A 17,439-nucleotide genomic window follows, 5' to 3' on the forward strand; every position below is an offset into this window, starting at 1 on the left:
CAGGAGTGAGCCACTGTGGCCTGCCATTCCCGTGAGTTTTCACAAATGTATGTAGTATGTCATTGCCACCACGATGAAGGTCAAGAGCATTCCAACACCCCATAAAATTGCCTCAGGCTTCTTTGTAGTTAATCCCTCACCGTCAACTTCCAGAATGTCATAGAGAGAAAAACCACACAATATATTGCCTTTTGAGTCTGGTGTTCTTCACTCAGCCCAGTGGATTCTGAGACTTCTGTCTGTTGTGTGGATCTGTGAGAAGAGCTGCTGGTTTTTAATCTGTTTTATCCAGTTAAATGTATTCTCAGCTTCCGTGTAGGCTTATAAATCCTTCTTTATAAAAGTAGTGATTCAATTTTAAGCAAAATGAATCTTTTCTTCATGTGAAATTTCACGGGGAATTCCAAGATGTCACTGGATAAAGGCTGAGCTGTCTTGGTGGGCTGGAGGATGGAGAAGGTCGTGTGTTGTGAGTAGGGCCTTTCTGGCTTCAGCCTCATCCCCTCAGGGGACCTGAGCTCAGCTGGAGAATCAAGAATCCGGGTTTGGTTGTCTGTTTTGTGAGTCAAGAAAAAAAACCTTGCATAGCACAGTGGCTCACACCTGTAATCCCAGCACTTTGGGAGGCTGAGGCGGGTGGATCACCTGAGGTCAGGAGTTCAAGACCAGCCTGGCCAACATGGTGAAACCCCATCTCTACTAAAAATAAGAAATTAGGCCTGGCACGGTGGCTCACACCTGTAATCCCAGCACTTTAAGAGGCCAAAGTGGGCAGATCACAAGGTCAAGAGATCGAGACCATCCTGCCCAACATGGTGAAAACCGGTCTCTACTAAAAATACAAAAAAAAAAAAAAAATTATCTGGGTGTGGTGGTGTGTGCCTGTAGTCCCAGCTACTTGGGCTGCTGAGGCAGGAGAATCACTTGAACCTCGGAGGCAGAGGTTGCAGTGAACCAAGATCACGCCACTGCACTCCAGCCTGGGCCGCACAGCGAGACTCTCCCATCTCAAAAAAAAAAAAATTAGGTGTGGTGGTACTCTCCAGCTACTTGGGAGGCCGAGGCAGGAGAATTGCTTGAACCCGGGAGGCAGAGGTTGCAGTGAGCTTAGATCATGCCACTGCACCCTAGCCTGGGCGACAGAGTGAGGCTCTGTGTCAAAAAAAAAAAAAAAACCAAAAAACTCACAGTGTTCTATTGTGAGACATTTAGATAGTTTGCCATTTTGTGGAGATTAACACTCTTGCAGATGGATTTCTATTTCTTTTTTTATTTTTTTTGAGACGAAGTTTTTCTCTTGTTGCCTAGGCTGGAGTGCAATGGCATGATCTCAGCTCACTGCAACCTCCGCCTCACAGATTCAAGCGATTCTCCTGCCTCAGCCTCCCAAGTAGTTGGGACTACAGGCACCCGCCACCACGCCCAGCTAATTTTTGTATTTTCAGTAGAGATGGGGTTTCACCATGTTGGCCAGGCGGGTCTTGAACTCCTGACCTCAGGTGATCTGCCCGCCTCGGCCTCCCAAAGTGCTGGGATTACAGGCGTGAGCCACTGTGCCCGGCCTTTCTTTGTTTTTTTTTTTGTTTGTTTTTTATTTGAGATGGAGTCTTGCTCTGTCACCCAGGCTGGAGTGCAGTGGCATTATCTCAGCTCACTGCAACCTCTGCCTCCCGGCACCTGGCCTTTTTTAGCGAACTTCCTACAGCTGGGATTTCTAGATCAAATGCATACATTTTCAAGGGGAAAAGATCTTTAAAAAATTATAAATGACTGCTGATGGATAATGGATTTCTTTTTGGGTGATGAAAATGATCCAGAATTAGATAGTGGTGGTTGTTTATACTAAATACATTGAATATACTGAACTCTGAATATACTAAAACTCACTTAATTGTATACTTTAAAATGGTGAATTTTATTGTATGCAAATTATGTCTCAATGATAAAAATAGGCTGGCTGCAGTGGCTCACGCCTGTGTTCCCAACACTTTGGGAGGCCAAGGCAGGAGGATCACTTGAGGCCAGGAGTTTGAGACCAGCCTGGGCAATATTGTGAGACTGTGTCTCTCCAAAATATTTTTTAAGAAATTGGCCAAGCATAGTGGCATGTGGCCAAGCTGCTCTGGAGGCTGAGGCAGGAGGATCACTTGACCCTAGGAGTTCAAGGGTGCAGTAAGCCAAGGTCACACCACTGCACTCCAGCCTGGATGACAGAGTGAAACCCTGTCTCAAATAAATAAAATACATATTTATCCTTAAAATCACATAGTGCAATTGTATTTACAAACAAAAGTCCTAGTGTTATAGCTCTAAGAATTTGTCTACCAGGTTTTCTGGTCATCGCTGGAAACACCCTCTCCCCTCAAAAATAAATTTTTTTTTTTTTTTGAGACAGAGTTGTCGCTCTTGTTGCCCAGGCTGGAGTGCAGTGGCGCGATCTTGGCTCACTGCAACCTCCGCCTCCCGGGTTCAAGCAATTCTCCTGCCTCAGCCTCCTGAGTAGCTGGGATTACAGGCATGCACCACCAAGCCCGGCTAATTTTGTATTTTTAGTAGAGATGGAGTTTCTCCATGTTGGTCAGGCTGGTCTCTTAATTCCTGACCTCAGATGATCTGCCCGCTTCGGCCTCCCAAAGTGCTGAGATTATAGGCGTGAGCCACTGTGCCTGGCCCCAAAATAATTTTTTAAAAAGTCCTGTGTCTCTCCCTTCCTTAGTGCCTCTTCCGCTGCACATGCTGGGTCCTGGGCGAGGTACTGGGGCTGTAACGGGGAACGAAACAAACAGGGTCCTTGCCTTGGGAGCACTTTGGTGGGGGAGCCAGGCCTTAATCAAATAATCTCAGCTGTATAATGATACACACTGATAAGTGTTATGAAGGAAGAGTGTTAAGAAGCTCAGAGAGTAAATCATGGGGCCCTGATTTGGTTTGGGATTGAAGGAGTGTTCCTCAGGAAGTGACCTTCAGATGTGTATAGAAGTTTCTCTGGTCGAGGGGAAGCTGGCAGGGAGAAAAGCCTTCAAAGCAGGTTCATAGGCCCTGGGGTGGGAGGATCAAAGAACTCAAAGGAGGGTGGAGCCCAGAGCAGAATGGAGAGAAGGGGAGGAGGTGAGGCCAGGAGGTGTTAAGGTCAGGCCTGTGGTCCTTAGTAAAGATTGTGCTGTTTTTTTCCTGAGGTGCAGAAGGGAGCCACCGCACAGTTCCAGATTGGGGTGTGACAGGGGTAAGAAGCCTTCTCTGGATGTTAGGTAGAGAACAGATTGGAGGGTGACAGAGCTGTAGCAGTCAGTCAAGAGAGGATGGTGGCTGTGACAAATGGGGTGGAGGAAGGGGTCAATCAAAGAGACATTTAGGGTGTAAAATCCATGGGCCTTAACCTGATGGAGTGTGTCAAGGAGGCCTCCAGGTTTCCAGCCTGCCCAGGGCTGTCATTTATAGAACTGGAAGCACACAAGTGTGTCCCTCACACAGTTTCCACACGTGGGTGCATGCGTCTACAGCCACTGCCTTTTTTTTTTTTTTTAGGACAGGGTCTCTCGCTCTGCTGCCCAGGCTGGAGTGCAGTGGTGCAATCATAGCTCACTGCAGCCTCAAACTCCAGGGCTTGAGCAGTCCTCCTGCCTTGGCCTCCCAGGTAGCTGGGACTACAGGTGTGCACCACCACACCTGGCTAATTTTTTTTTTTTTCATTTTTTGTAGAGACAGGGTCTTGCTATGTTGCCTAGGCCGGTCTAGAACTCCTGGGCTCAAGTGAGCCTCCAGCCTCAGCCCCTCAAAACATTCAGATTATTAAGCATGAGCCACCACGCCTGGCTGTGATTGCTTTTTGACAAAGATGACACAGAAAAGGCCTAATGTACATGTTACTCTGCATTTCCGCCCACTTCGAAGGGAATTCCTTGTCGGCACATTTGTATCTTCATTCCTTTGAATGATCCCACCATGTTCCATTGGTCGGTTCACCATCTTTTACTTAGCCAGCCTCCCATGTTCGACATTTAGGTTGTTTCCAGTGTTTGGCCGTAACAAACAGTGGTGTAGCGAGTGTCCTTGCCTGTGGGAGAATTTCTGCCATGTTGCTAGATGTGTCATTACTGAGTTAAAGGCAGTGCACATTTACCCTTCATAGATCTTGTCAAGGTGTCCTCCAAGAAGCTTGTGCCAGTGCACCTTCTCTCAAGTAGCACCTGTGAGTGCGTCTGTTTCTAGCTTTCCCAACTATGTTACAGTCTTTGGCAATAACATAGATATTCTTTGACAATCTGGTAGGAAATGACTTTTTTTTTTTTTTTTTTTTTGAGATGGAGTCTCGCTCTATAGCCAGGCTGGAGTGCAGCGGCATGATCTCAGCTCACTGCAGCCTCCGCCTCCCAGGTTCAAGCGATTCTCCTGCCTCAGCCTCCCAAGTAGCTGGGACTACAGGTGCCTGCCACCATGCCCAGCTAATGTTTGTATTTTTAGTAGAGATGGGTTTTCACTATGTTGGCCAGGATGGTCTCTATCTCTTGACCTCATGATCCGCCTGCCTTGGCCTCCCAAGGTGCTGGGATTACAGGTGTGAGCTACCATGCCCGGCCTATGCTGTATTTTCTTAGATTTAGAGATTCCATTGATAGACCTGACATATTTATTTTTTTGTGGTAAATATACATAATATAAAAATTACCATTTTAGGCCGGGCGCGGTGGCTCACGCCTATAATCCCAGCACTTTGGGAGGCCAAGGTGGGCGGATCACCTGAGGTCAGGAGCTGGAGACCAGCCTGCCAGCGTGGTGAAACCCTATCTCTACTAAAAATACAAAATTAGCCGGGCGTCGTGGTGGGCGCCTGTAATCCCAGTTACTCTGGAGGCTGAGGCAGGAGAATTGCCTGAACCCGGGAGGCAGAGGTTGCAGTGAGCCGAGATCACGCCACTGCACTCTGGCCTGGGTGACAAGAGTGAAACTTTGTCTCAAAAAAAAAAAAATTACCATTTTAACCATTAAAAAATCTACACTTTAGTGGCATTAAGTACATTCACATTATTTTGCAAATATCACCCCTACCCATCTCCCATCTCCAAAACTTTTTCACCCTCCTAAACTGAAACCCAAATCTCCATTAAACACTAACTCTCCATTCCCACTTTCCGCAGGCCCTGGCACCCACCATCCTACTTTCTGTCTCTATGAATTTGACTACTCCAGGGACCTCATCTAGGTGAAATCTTACATACTGTGTAGTTTTTTTGTTTTGTTTTGTTTTGTTTTTGAGATGGTGTCTCGCTCTGTTGCCCAGGCTGGAGTGCAGTGGCTCAATCTCCACTCACTGCACCCTCCACCTCCCAGGTTTGAGCCATTCTTCTATCTCAGCCTCCTGAGTAGCTGGGACTACAGGCGTATGCCACCAGGCATGGCTAATTTTTGTATTTTTAGTAGAGATGGGGTTTTGCCATGTTGGCCAGGCTGGTCTTAAACTCCTTATCTCAGATGATCTGCCTGCCTCTGCCTCCCAAAGTGCTGGGATTACAGGACACTGTATAGTTTTTGTCTGGCTTATTTCACTTAGCATAATGTCCTCAAGGTTCATCCATGTTACAGCATGTGTCAGAATTTCCTTCCTTTTAAAGGCTGTATAATATTCGACTGTATGTATACACCACATTATTTTTATCCATTCATTAGTCAATGGACACTAGGATTGCTTCCACCTTTTTGTTGTGAACAATGCTGCTTTGAACATGGTTGTAGCAATATCTGTTCAAATCTCTGCTTTCATTTCTTTGTATATATGCCCAGAAATTTAATTGCTGCATCATGTGGTCATTCTATGTTTAAAGTTTCTAAAATTTTTTTTAACTTCAATATATGAACTTTTTTTTTTTTTTTGAGATGGAGTCTTGCTCTCACCCAGGCTGGAGTGCAGTGGTGCAATCTCAGCTCACTGCAACCTCCGCCTCCCAGGTTAGTGATTCTCCTGTCTTAGCCTCCTGAGTAGCTGGGATTACAGGCACCCACCACCACTCCCAGCTAATTTTTGTATTTTTAGTAGAGACTGGGTTTCACCATGTTGACCAGGCTCGCCTCGAACTCCTGACCTCAAGTAATCCACCTGCCTTGGCCTCCCAAAGTGCTGGGATTGCAGGCGTGAACCACCACACCTGGCCTATGAACATTTTAAAATGTCAAAGATGACTTCCAGGTTTCTGGAATGAGCTTGCTTATTTATTTATTTATTTATTTATTTATTTATTTATTTATTTATTTATTTATTTTGAGACAGGTTCTCTGTTGCCAAGGCTGGAGTGCAGTGGTGTGATCTTGGCTCACTGCAATCTGGACTTCCCAGGCTCAAGCAATCCTCCCACCTCAGCCTTGAGAGTAGCTGGGACTACAGGCATGTGCCACCATGCCCAGCTAATTTTTGCATTTTGTGGTTTTGCCGTGTTGCCCAGGCTGGTCTTGAATTCCTGGGCTCAAGCGATCCCACCCGTCTTGGCCTCCCAAAGTGCTGCTATTATAGGCGTGAGCCACCGTGCCCGGCGCTTTGTTTAGGTTTTGGAGGACCCTCCATTACTGTTTTCCACTGCCGTGCACCGTTTCACATTCCCACCAGTGGTGCACAGGGCTCCATTTTCCCCGCTTCCTCGCCAGCACTTGTTTTCTGTTTCATAATCAGTGTGTGGTAGAATCTCATTGTGGTTTTGATTTTCATTTCTCTTATGATTAGTGACATGGAGCATCTTTTCCTGTGCTTTTTGATCATTTGTATATCTTCTTTGAAGAAATGTCTATTTAGGCTGGGCGCTGTGTCTCATGCCTGTAATCCCAGTGCTTTGGGAGGCTGAGGCGGGCGGATCACTCGAGCTCAGGAGTTTGAGACCAGCCTGGGGATCATGGTGAAACCTGTCTCTGGAAAAAAATACAAAAATTAGCCAGGTGTGGAGGATTGTGCCTGTAGTCACAGCTACTCAGGAGGCTGAGGCAGGAGAATCGCTTGAGCCCAGGAGGCAGAGGTTGCAGTGAGCTAAGGGATTGCATCACTACACTCCAGCCTGGGCAACAGGAGTGAAACCCTGTCTCAAAAAAAAAAAAAAAAAAAGAAAGAAAAAGAAAGGTCTATTCAAGTCCTTTGCTCATTTTCTTTTCTTTTCTTTTTTTTTTTTTTTGAGACGGAGTCTCGCTCTGTCACCCAGGCTGGAGTGCAGTGGCACAATCTCGGCTCACTGCAAACTCCGCCTCCTGGGTTGACGCCATTCTCCTGCCTCAGCCTCCCGAGTAGCTGGGACTACAGGCGTCCACCACCAAGCCTGGCTAATTTTTTTTGTGTGTGTATTTTTAGTAGAGATAGGGTTTCACTGTGTTAGCCACGATGGTGTCAATCTCCTGACTTTGTGATCTGCCCACCTTGGCCTCCCAAAGTGCTGGGATTACAGGCGTGAGCCACCGCGCCTGGCCTTTTTTTTTGTATTTTTAGTAGAGACGGGGTTTCACCGTGTTAGCCAGGATGGTCTTGATCTCCTGACCTCATGATCCGCCTGCCTTGGCCTCCCAAAGTGTTGGGATTACAGGCGTGAGCCACCACACCCAGCCCTTTGCTCATATTCTAATCAGATTTTTTTGTTGATGTTGAGGTATAGGAGTTCTTTATATGTTCTGGATGTTAAATCCTTATTAGATATATGATTTGCATGTATTTTCTTTTTTCTTTTTTTTTTTTTTTTAAGACAGAATCTCACTCTGTCACCCAGGCTGGAGTGCAGTGGCACATTCATGGCTCACTGCAGCCTTGAGCTTCTGGGCTCAAGTGATCCTCCCACCTCAGCCTCCCAAGTAGCTGGGACTACAGATGTGCGTCATCAAGCCTGGCTAATTAAAAAAAATATATGTTTTTTGTAAAGACGAGATCTCTCTTTGTTGCCGGGCTGGTCTTGAACTTTTGAGCTGAGGCAGTCCTCCTGCCTGGGCCTCTGAATGTGTTGGGATTACAGGCATGAGCCACCGTACCCAGCATGTATGTATTTTCTCCTATCATGTGGGTTGCCTTTTCACTCTGTTAATAGTGTCATTTGATACATAGAAGTTTTAGATTTTGATGGCATCTTGTTTTATTTATTTATTTTTATTTTTTTGAGACAGGGTCTCACTCTGTTGCCCAGGCTGGAGTGCAGTGGTGCAGTCACAGCTCACTGCAGCCTTGACCTCCCTTGAGCAATCCTCCTGCCTCAGCCTCCCGAGTAGCTGGGACTATAGGTGCACACCACCATGCCTCGCTAATTTTTATACTTTTTGTAGAGTCAGGGTTTCACCATGCCCAGCCTGGTCTTCAACTCCTGGGCTCAAGTGATCTTCCTGCCTCCCAAAGTGCTGGGATTACTGGCGTGAGCCACCGTGCCTGGATATCGTATTTTAATTTGTAATTTTTTTGGTATGTACTCCCCCTGCTTTAATTTTAATTTTTTAAATTAAAGTACTATATACAGGCTGGGTGTGGTGGCTCATGCCTGTAATCCCAGCACTTTGGGAGGCTGAGGTGGGTGGATCACCTGAGATCAGGAGTTCAAGACCAGCCTGGCCAACATGGCGAAACCCCATCTCTATTAAAAATACAAAAATTATCTGGGCATGGTGGCACGTGCCTGTAATCCCAGTTGCTCAGGAGGCTGAGGCAGGAGAATTGCTTGAACCGGGGAGGCGGAGGTTGCAGTGAGCCGAGATTGTGCCACTGTACTCCAGCCTGCGCGACAGAGAACCCATCTCAAAAAAAAGAAAGTAATACATACATGCCAGGTGTGGTGGCACATGCCCAAAATCCCAGCACTTTGGGATGCTGAGGTGGGCAGATCACTTGAGCCCAGGAGTTTGAGACCAGGCTGGCCAGTATGGTGAAACCCTGTCTCTACTAAATATACAGAAACATTAGCTGAGCATGGTGCTGCATGCCTGTAGTCCCAGCTACTCAGGAGGCTGAGGCACGAGAATTGCTTGAACCTAGGAGGCTGAGGTTGCGGTGAGCTGAGATTGCACCACTACACTCCAGCCTGGGCAACAGAGCAAGACTCTGTCTCAGAAAAATAAAGCAATACATACGCATGGTTAAAAAATTAATGATATGGAAATATATAAAAGTAAACATCTTCTTTTTCCAAAGGACTAGTCCTCTCTGGAAGTAACCACTCTTAACAAGTTTTTCCATGTTCTTCCAGAAAACTTCGCACACTAGAGCAACACAGGTGTCCTTTTAGAAAATATTATCGGCCGGGCACGGTGGCTCACACCTGTAATCCCAGCACTTTGGGAGGCTGAGGTGGGTGGATCACCTGAGATCAGGAGTTCTGAGACCAGCCTGGCCAACATGGCGAAACCCTGTCTCTACTAAAAATACTAAAATTAGGCGGGTGTGGTGGCGGGCACCTGTAGTCCCAGCTACTCAGGAGGCTGGGGCATGAGAATTGCTAGAACCTGGGAAGCAGAGGTTGCAGTGAGCCAAGATTGTGCCACTGCACTCCAGCCTGGGTGACAGAGTGAGACTGTGTCTCAAAAAAAAAAAAAAAGAAAGAAAATATTATCAAATAGGTTCATACTTTGGTGGGGTTTTGGTTTGTTTTGACTAAAACCCTTCATTCTCTGTACTGTATTTGAACAATACCTATTGATGGACATTTCTGGTGTTTTCAGTTTTTGAATTTCTACACAGTCCTGGAATGAACATTTCATTTGTATGTCTCGCTAATTTTTATACTTTTTGTAGAGTGCTGGGATTACAGGCATTTGTATGTCTTGTAATTTGTATGTCATCTTGCAATTGTGTACTATGTACCTTGGATGTACCTTTTAAAGATCGTTGGTGGTGGGACACGTGTTTTTTGAGGAAGATGGTACTGAGGTCAGCACCCTGGCTGCCCTGAGAGTGCAGTGCCACGTTCCCCACCCTCTCGCCAACCACAGGATTATGCTGCAAATGTAAATCTTTACCAATTTGATAGGCAAAAAATGGGATCTCAGCATTTTAGCCTGCATCTCTGAGTACTAACGAGGCTGAACACGAAATGAGCTTATTTTCTTTTCAGAAGCCCCTGAATGTGACAGTGATCCGCAGGGGGGAAAAACACCAGCTTAGACTTGTTCCAACACGCTGGGCAGGAAAAGGACTGCTGGGGTAAAGTATCTGTTTCTGTTCATTCTCACTGGGGCATCATTTGAGTGTTTGTTAAACATGAAGCTGGAGGGGAAGGCTGGGGAGACATTGGGGAATAATGGGAATCCCCAGTTTGCATGGAAACTGCAGATAAATCCTCGTGGTAGGAACGAGACTACAGCTCTAGAAGCAGAGGGAGCCCCAGAGTCTCTCCTGGGAGTCTCTCCAGTTCATTCATGCACTAGGCATTTGCTTTAAAAGAATGAAAGAACATTGGTGAAAAGGTCAGAAGGGCTCAGCCTCTGACCTTCCTGAAGGGAGCCTCCAAACTTACGCCATTCCTTTTCTTCTTTCTTCCAGCTGCAACATTATTCCTCTGCAAAGATGATTGTCCCTGGGGAACAGTAACAGGAAAGCATCTTCCCTTGCCCTGGACTTGGGTCTAGGGATTTCCAACTTGTCTTCTCTCCCTGAAGCATAAGGATCTGGAAGAGGCTTGTAACCTGAACTTCTGTGTGGTGGCAGTACTGTGGCCCACCAGTGTAATCTCCCTGGATTAAGGCATTCTTAAAAACTTAGGCTTGGCCTCTTTCACAAATTAGGCCACGGCCCTAAATAGGAATTCCCTGGATTGTGGGCAAGTGGGCGGAAGTTATTCTGGCAGGTACTGGTGTGATTATTATTATTATTTTTAATAAAGAGTTTTACAGTGCTGATATGACCCTGTTGTCACCCCAGCTGAATTTCTTATGACCCTCCCAAACCAAAGCTCAGATGGGGTCAGAAGAGCTTCATAGAAAGTTGGGCAAAACAGGCTAGCAATTGCAAAGTCAGGCTTTGACCAACATATTTCTTTGCACTGAGGCCTTGCTGCTGTGGATACGGAAATGGTTAAGTACTGTGCTTCCTCAGCAGCTGGGCTGTCAGGGCCATAGTAGCTCCCTTTGGAGAACAGGGAAAGCCTGGAGGCTTCCCAGGTGGCCCAGCGTGGTGTCCTGTCAGCTTCCTCTTTAGGAACCCACCAGAGGGCAGCAAGCTCCTTTCACTTCGCTAGTAAGAACCCCTCCGTTTTTGTGTGTTTTTGTTTTTGTTTTCTGGAGACAAGGTCTTGCTTTGTCACCCAGGCTGGAGTGCAGTGTCGTGATCAAGGTTCACTGAAGCCTTGACGCTGTGGGCACTGCCTCAGCCGCCCAAGTATCTGGGACCACAGGCGTGCACCACCATGCATAGCTAATTTATTTTTTGTAGAGACAGGGTCTCCCTGTGTTGACCAGGTTGGTCTCGAACTCCTGGGCTCAAGCAGTCCTCCTGCCTTGGCCTCCTAAAGTGCTGGGATCACAGGCGTGAGCCACTGCGCCCAGCCCACTGCTAGTTTGACTTTTTATAATTGAACCTCCTGGCTATGCCCTGAGATCAGCGCTATTTTGTAAACCGCTGAGGTATGGATAGGAACGAGTAGATCAGACCTCTTGAAAATGCTTATTCTTCCTCCCTTTTATTTTTTGTCTCTTTTAAGATGGTAAAATGGTTCTCAGGGATTCCTGCCAATACTTTGAATTATTTTTTCCTCTCCATGGTATCAGTGTTCATTTCCCCAGTTCTTGCACACCGCTTTCTGTTTTGGCAGTTCTGCCAGGCAAGCCCTGTGTTCCTTGGGACTGGTTTTGCTGTGGTTGGATACAGATACCAGCTTGCCTTGATGGGATTGGTATTGCTGTGTGCTTCCAGCCACAGGTTCTCACACTCAATTCCAAAGCCTTCCTATTGGGCGAATTCCCTCAAACTCTATTTGACCTGACAGCCATACGTATTCCCCTCTGGTAGCCACAGACATGCTGTGTTTACCAATGTTTGCTGTTTAAATTGCATGTTCTAATTCCACGTATTTTCCAGTCTCTTTTATAAAGTCTCAGACTATAATAAACACAGCTTGCCCAGTTTATCCTTTCTTTTTTATTTTAAGATGTATGCATATTAATCAATTTACCATCACTGGGGCATGGCAGTGTGGGCGGGGAGAATTATTCACATTCTCCTAAAATGACAGCAGCAGAGAGCCTTCTGCCTCAGTGGCTCTGGCTGGTTTCCTGCAGGGGTCCCAGTGGAAACCCGTGTGGCCACCTGTTGCCGTCTTCCATGAGATGTTAGTGGAGAGCCACTTTGACGTGGAATGATCCTAATAGATATAGCCAGACCGGTTTTGCGGAAACGCTTTGTGCTGAGAACCGCAAGCTGGTGCACCCTGTGTCATATCTGCCCCCAGCCAGCTGGAATTGTCTGCAACACGCGGTGCCCGGTGAGGAGGCAGGCAGGACGGTTGTGTGCTGCATCCATGAGACCTGGAAATTCAGTTTGCTTTTGGAAAAGAGCATTGTATCCGAGTTCATACTTCTCCACCCCATCTTGCCAAGGTTGCGGAAAGTAAAAATTGGCAGTATTGGCCGCTGCAGCTTCTTAGGGGACGGGACCATGTGAAAAGGTGGGATCGTGCGAGCGGAGGAAGGACAGAAAAGCGAGGAAAGTCTATGCCGCCAGCGACCGGCAGGAGGCACGTCGGGCACGCTCGTCACCGTTTCCTGGCACGTGACCACCGCCCTGCCCTGTCGCTTTAGGGCCTGTCGCTTCCGGCGGTGGCGGTTGCCATGGGGACGGAGCTTGGGTGGCAACCAGAACTAGGGAGCTGGTGGAGAAGGTGGCGGCCGCTGGAAGGAGGCCCGGGAGGTGGCTGAGGGGTCCAGGCGGCGGGACGACTCTGGCCTTTTGAAGACCGGGGTGGGTGCTCTCTGTAAGTCCGGGGCGGAGGCCACGCGGCCCTGGCGAGGGGGCCCCCGACCTGGCGGGGTCTGGTGCCCCTTGGGGGGCGCTCACCCGACCTGGCCCTTGTGGGGCCTGGGGCGGCCCCAGGGAGACCTGAGTTGGAGGCAGAGGCCGCACCTGGGCTTTAATCCCCTCGCAGAGCCACGCACCTGGCACCCCTGCCCCAAACCCCTGCGGCTCGAACCCGGCTGTCCAGACGCGCCGGCGAAGTTGGGCTCAGTCAAAAGAGGCTCGGTGGTGAGAGCCCTAGACTTGATTCAGAGCAGTGATTTTTCAGCTGGAGAAACTAAGTGCCAGAGAAATCTCGTTCTTACTAGCGGTGTCATCTTGAATAAGTCACTTCACCTCTCAGAGCCTCAAACTCATTTATCCATTCATTATTTATTTATTATTATTATTATTATTTTTTTTTTACCAGAGATGAATTTGAGGAGCTGATACATTTAGTGCTGAGAAAGAAATTAAGAAATAGAAATACCTTTTCTACTCTGTACTCTCTGGGACTTTATTTTCAAAGTGTTGAGTTCTCTTATTCTAATGTCACTGAAAATGTAGGGATTTTTTTTGTTCGGGGTCCAACTCTTTAGGGATAAAGTATCCATCCTTATTGTTTTCCTAGTTCAAACTCTTGTTTGTTGTAAGGAATAAATGGAGAATATGCCAGAAGGCTTTCAAACTGTTCATTTCTTTGCACATTAGGGTTGCTTTTCTCTCAAATAATAACAACTGCTACCATTTTTTCAAGCTGTATGTGCCAGAATTGTGATGAGCATTTTATATATGTTATCACTTCTCTACAACAACCCTAGAATTTAGGATTATTCTTTTCATTTTGCCCATGAGAAAATGCAGACTCTGAGGGGTAAAGTGACTTGCCCAAGGTCACAGAGCAAGTACGTGGTGGAAATGGGATTCAATGCTAGGACAAGCTGACAGCAAGGCCCTTGCTTTTAACCACTAGGCTACCCTGCTTCTTCTCGTATTCCTGTTTCTAGAATTGTTGCTAATATGTGGGTTATGCATTTTGCTGCCTGTGGGAATATAAATATATTTTAAATGAGTAAAAAGGCTACAAGGTGTTTATTCCCAGAAAGTTGACAGGCCCTGGATCAGTATTTTTAAGATCTGGGCCACAAATACATATACTTTAAGATTTCCCAGCTGCGCGTGATGGCTCACGCCTGTAATCCCAGCACTTTGGGAAGCCAAGGCGGGCGGATCACTTGAGGTCAGGAGTTTAAGACCAGACTGGCCAAAATGGTGAAACCCTGCCTCCATTGAAAAAATACAAAAATTAGCTGGGTGTGGTGGCAGACGCCTGTAATCCCAGCTGCTCGGGAGGCTGAGGCAGGAGAATAGCTTGAACCCTGGAGGCAGTAATTGCAGTGAGCCAAGATCGTGCCACTGCACTCCAGCCTGGGCAACAAGAACAAAACTCTGTCTCAAGAGAAAAAAAAAAAAAAGGTTTCCCACAAATGTGACTTTTTTTTTTTTTTTTTTTTTTTGAGAGAGGGTCTCGCTCTGTTGCCCAGGCTGGACTGCAGTGGCATGATCTTGGCTCGCTGCAACCTCCGCCTCCCAGATTCAAGCTATTCTCCTGCCTCGGCCTTCTGAGTAGCTCAGATTACAGGCACCACCACCACACCAGGCTTTTTGTATTTTTTTTTTTTTTTTGAGACGGAGTCTCGCTGTGTTGCCCAGGCTGGAGTGCAGTGGCACGATCTCGGCTCACTGCAAGCTCCGCCTCCCGGGTTCACACCATTCTCCTGCCTCAGCCTCCCGAGTAGCTGGGACTACAGGCGCCCACCGCCAAGCCCGGCTAATTTTTTGTATTTTTAGTAGAGACGGGGTTTCACCGTGTTAGCCAGGATGGTCTCGATCTCCTGACCTCGTGATCCACCCGCGTCAGCCTCCCAAAGTGCTGGGATTACAGGCGTGAGCCACCACGCCCGGCCAACTTTTTGTATTTTTAGTAGAGATGGGGTTTCACCATGTTGGCCAGGCTGGTCTCAAACTCCTGACCTCAACTGATCCTCCCGCCTCAGCCTCCCAAAGTGTTGGGATTACAGGCGTGAGCCACTGTGCCTGGCCAGAAATATGACATTCTTTTTTTGTTTTTATTTTTGAGACAGAACTTTGCTCTTGTTACCCAGGCTGGAGTGCAATGGTATGATCTTGGCTCACTGCAACCTCTGCCTCCCAGGTTCAAGCGATTCTCCTGCCTCAGCCTCCCAAGTAGCTGGGATTACAGGCGCCTGCCACCACACCCAGCTAATTTTTGTATTTTTAGTAGAAACGGGGTTTCATCATGTTGGCCAGGCTGGTCTCAAACTCCTGACCTCAGGTGATCCATCTGCATTGGCCTCCCATAGTGCTGGGATTACAGGCATGAGCCACCGTGCCTGGTCAGAAACATGACATTCTTTTTATTCCTATGGAAAGGGAACAGAGCCATTTATGCACATTTCATCAGTAGGTTAGTGCACTAGGAGATGGAAATGGGAAGCTGAGGGCCAGCTGGTTATTATGGTCAAAATCTCTCTAGAGGAAACTCTACAGAGAAGAATGTCAGATGCAGCAGAAGCTCCCCGAGAAGCAACAGGAGAAAATGGAGAAACAGAAATGAAAGAAGAGGAGGAACCTAATCCAAATTATAAAGAAGTAGAAGATCCACAACAGGAATCAAAAGATGACACAATAGCATGGAGAGAGTCTCAGGAGGAGGAGAGGAAAACGGGCGAGGAGGAAGGGGAGGAGGAGGGGAAGGAGGACAAAAAGATTGTCATGGAAGAAACTGAGGAAAAGGCTGGAGAAGTCCAAGAGAAGGAGGCTTCAGGAATACAGGAAGAAACCACAGTAGAGCCCCAAGAAGTCACAGCGTCCATGATCCGTTTGGAGACACAGATTACTGATTCCCAGTCAATCACATCAGGAATTTTCCCAGTAAGTAGTCATCTTAATTCATTCATCAATTCATTCAGAATCATTAGTTGAATGCTTAGTATAGGCCAGACTATGGGAACACAAAACCAAATAAGGTACAATCCATTCCTTTTTTTTTTTTTTTGAGACAGAGTCTCACTGTTGCCCAGGCTGGAGTGCAGGGGCACAATCTCAGCCTGCTGCAACCTCCGCCTCCTGGGTTCAAACTATTCTCCTGCCTCAGTCTCCTGAGTAGCTAAGATTACAGGCATCCACCACCACACCCAGCTAATGTTTTATATTTTCAGTAGAGATGGGGTTTCGGTCTTACCATGTTGGCCAGACTGGTCTCAAATGCATGATCTCAAATGATCTGCCCACCTTGGCCTCCCAAAGTGCTAGGATTACAGGCACACGCCACCACGCCCGGCCACAATCCATTCTTTTTTTTTTTTTTTTTTTGAGACAGAGTTTCACTCTTGTTGCCCAGGCTGGAGTGCAATGGCGTGATCTCGGCTCACTGCAACCTCTGCCTCCTGGGTTCAAGTGATTCTCCTGCCTCAGCCTCCCGAGTAGTGAGATTACAGGCGTCCGCCACCTCGCCTGGCTGATTTTTTTGTATTTTTAGTAGAGGCAGGCTGTCACTTATGTTGGCCAGGCTGGTCTCAAACTCTTGACCTCAGGTGATCCACCAGCTTTGGCCTCCCAAAGTGCTAGGAGCCCCTGCACCTGGCCACAATCCATTCTTTTAAGGAGCTCTAAGGTGTGTAGGGAGGCAGACCTATGAGTGCAGTGAGTGAAAGATGCACAGGAGATGAAACAGGGCCTCTTAACTCAGTTTGGAGGATGGCCAGGGAAAGCTTCCTGGAGGAGGTGTGTGCCACAGCTGAGGTGCTCGCCTTAGAATGGAGTCGGTATGATAATAGGAGTGTAGGCTTCCCACAGACTGCTCCCAGTAGGAGAACTTAGCTGTGGCCTAAGAATAGGTCACTGTCTGTAGCTAGTCAGCCTTTTGGAGACCACGAGTGCCACTTAGAAGAATGATTTTGCCATTGTGGGTCTGCTGGTAGGCCAAGAATAAACTTGAACACACCCACGTTTGTCCTGTTCTTTTCTTTTCTCTTTTCTTTTCTTTTTTCTTTTTTGAGACGGAGTCTCGCTCTGTCGCCCAGGCTGGAGTACAGTGGTGCAATCTTGGCTCACTGCAAGCTCCGCCTCCTGGGTTCATGCTATTCTCCTGCCTCAGCCTCCCGAGTAGCTGGGACTACAGGCGCCCGCCACCACGCCCAGCTAATTTTTTGTTTTTGTATTTTTAGTAGAGATGGGGTTTCACCATGTTAGCCAGGATGGTCTCGATCTCCTGACCTCGTGATCTGCCCGCCTCGGCCTCCCAAAGTGCTGGGATTACAGGCGTGAACCACCGTGCCTGGCTCTTTTCTTATCTTTTCCTTTTCCCCCTCCCCTCCCCTCTCCTCCCCTTCCTGTCCCTTCTTCTCTCCTCTCATCCCTCCTTCCTTTCTGGGGTCTCACTTTGTCACCTAGGCTGGAGTACAGTGACATGATCTTTCACAAGCAGCCTCAAC

At 47.5% G+C, this 17,439-nt stretch overlaps 2 protein-coding genes and 1 pseudogene across 5 annotated transcripts in view, besides 2 other annotated features; all 3 read left to right on the forward strand.

Moving 5' to 3' along the window:
• Window positions 1-12,491, forward strand: part of PSMD9 (proteasome 26S subunit, non-ATPase 9) — a 29,508-nt gene extending 17,017 nt beyond the window's left edge. For all 3 annotated transcript variants that reach the window (NR_048555.3, NM_002813.7, NM_001261400.3), the window contains 2 exons: window positions 10,050-10,138; window positions 10,478-12,491. Coding sequence is in view for 2 of the 3 variants with exons in the window: in NM_002813.7 (NP_002804.2) it covers window positions 10,050-10,138; window positions 10,478-10,505 (117 nt within the window). In the remaining variant the exon portion in view is untranslated. The remainder of the gene's footprint in view (window positions 1-10,049; window positions 10,139-10,477) is intronic.
• On the forward strand, window positions 2,297-2,357 carry RNU7-170P (RNA, U7 small nuclear 170 pseudogene; annotated as a pseudogene).
• Window positions 5,865-6,021: a silencer, noted in NCBI's record as "fragment chr12:122349577-122349733 (GRCh37/hg19 assembly coordinates)". NCBI's record gives its function as "represses an EF-1alpha promoter that drives an FKBP-Casp9 reporter gene in an ReSE screen in HepG2 liver carcinoma cells {active_cell/tissue: HepG2}" and the evidence as "EXISTENCE:reporter gene assay evidence [ECO:0000049][PMID:32094911]".
• The window catches only part of CFAP251 (cilia and flagella associated protein 251), an 85,328-nt gene continuing 80,674 nt past the window's right edge, over window positions 12,786-17,439 (forward strand). The window contains exons 1-2 of one of the 2 annotated variants that reach the window (NM_144668.6): window positions 12,786-12,889; window positions 15,480-15,877. In NM_144668.6, the coding sequence (NP_653269.3) occupies window positions 15,500-15,877 (378 nt within the window). In that variant the 5' untranslated portion in view covers window positions 12,786-12,889; window positions 15,480-15,499. Of the gene's footprint in view, window positions 12,903-15,479; window positions 15,878-17,439 lie in introns of both variants that reach the window. The other variant, NM_001178003.2, reaches the window with a different exon arrangement.
• Window positions 12,915-13,064: a silencer, noted in NCBI's record as "silent region_5001". NCBI's record gives its function as "represses an Ori minimal core promoter by ATAC-STARR-seq in GM12878 lymphoblastoid cells {active_cell/tissue: GM12878}" and the evidence as "EXISTENCE:reporter gene assay evidence [ECO:0000049][PMID:35858748]".

This window comes from Homo sapiens, chromosome 12, assembly GCF_000001405.40.
Source record: "Homo sapiens chromosome 12, GRCh38.p14 Primary Assembly".
NCBI lineage: Eukaryota > Metazoa > Chordata > Mammalia > Primates > Hominidae > Homo > Homo sapiens.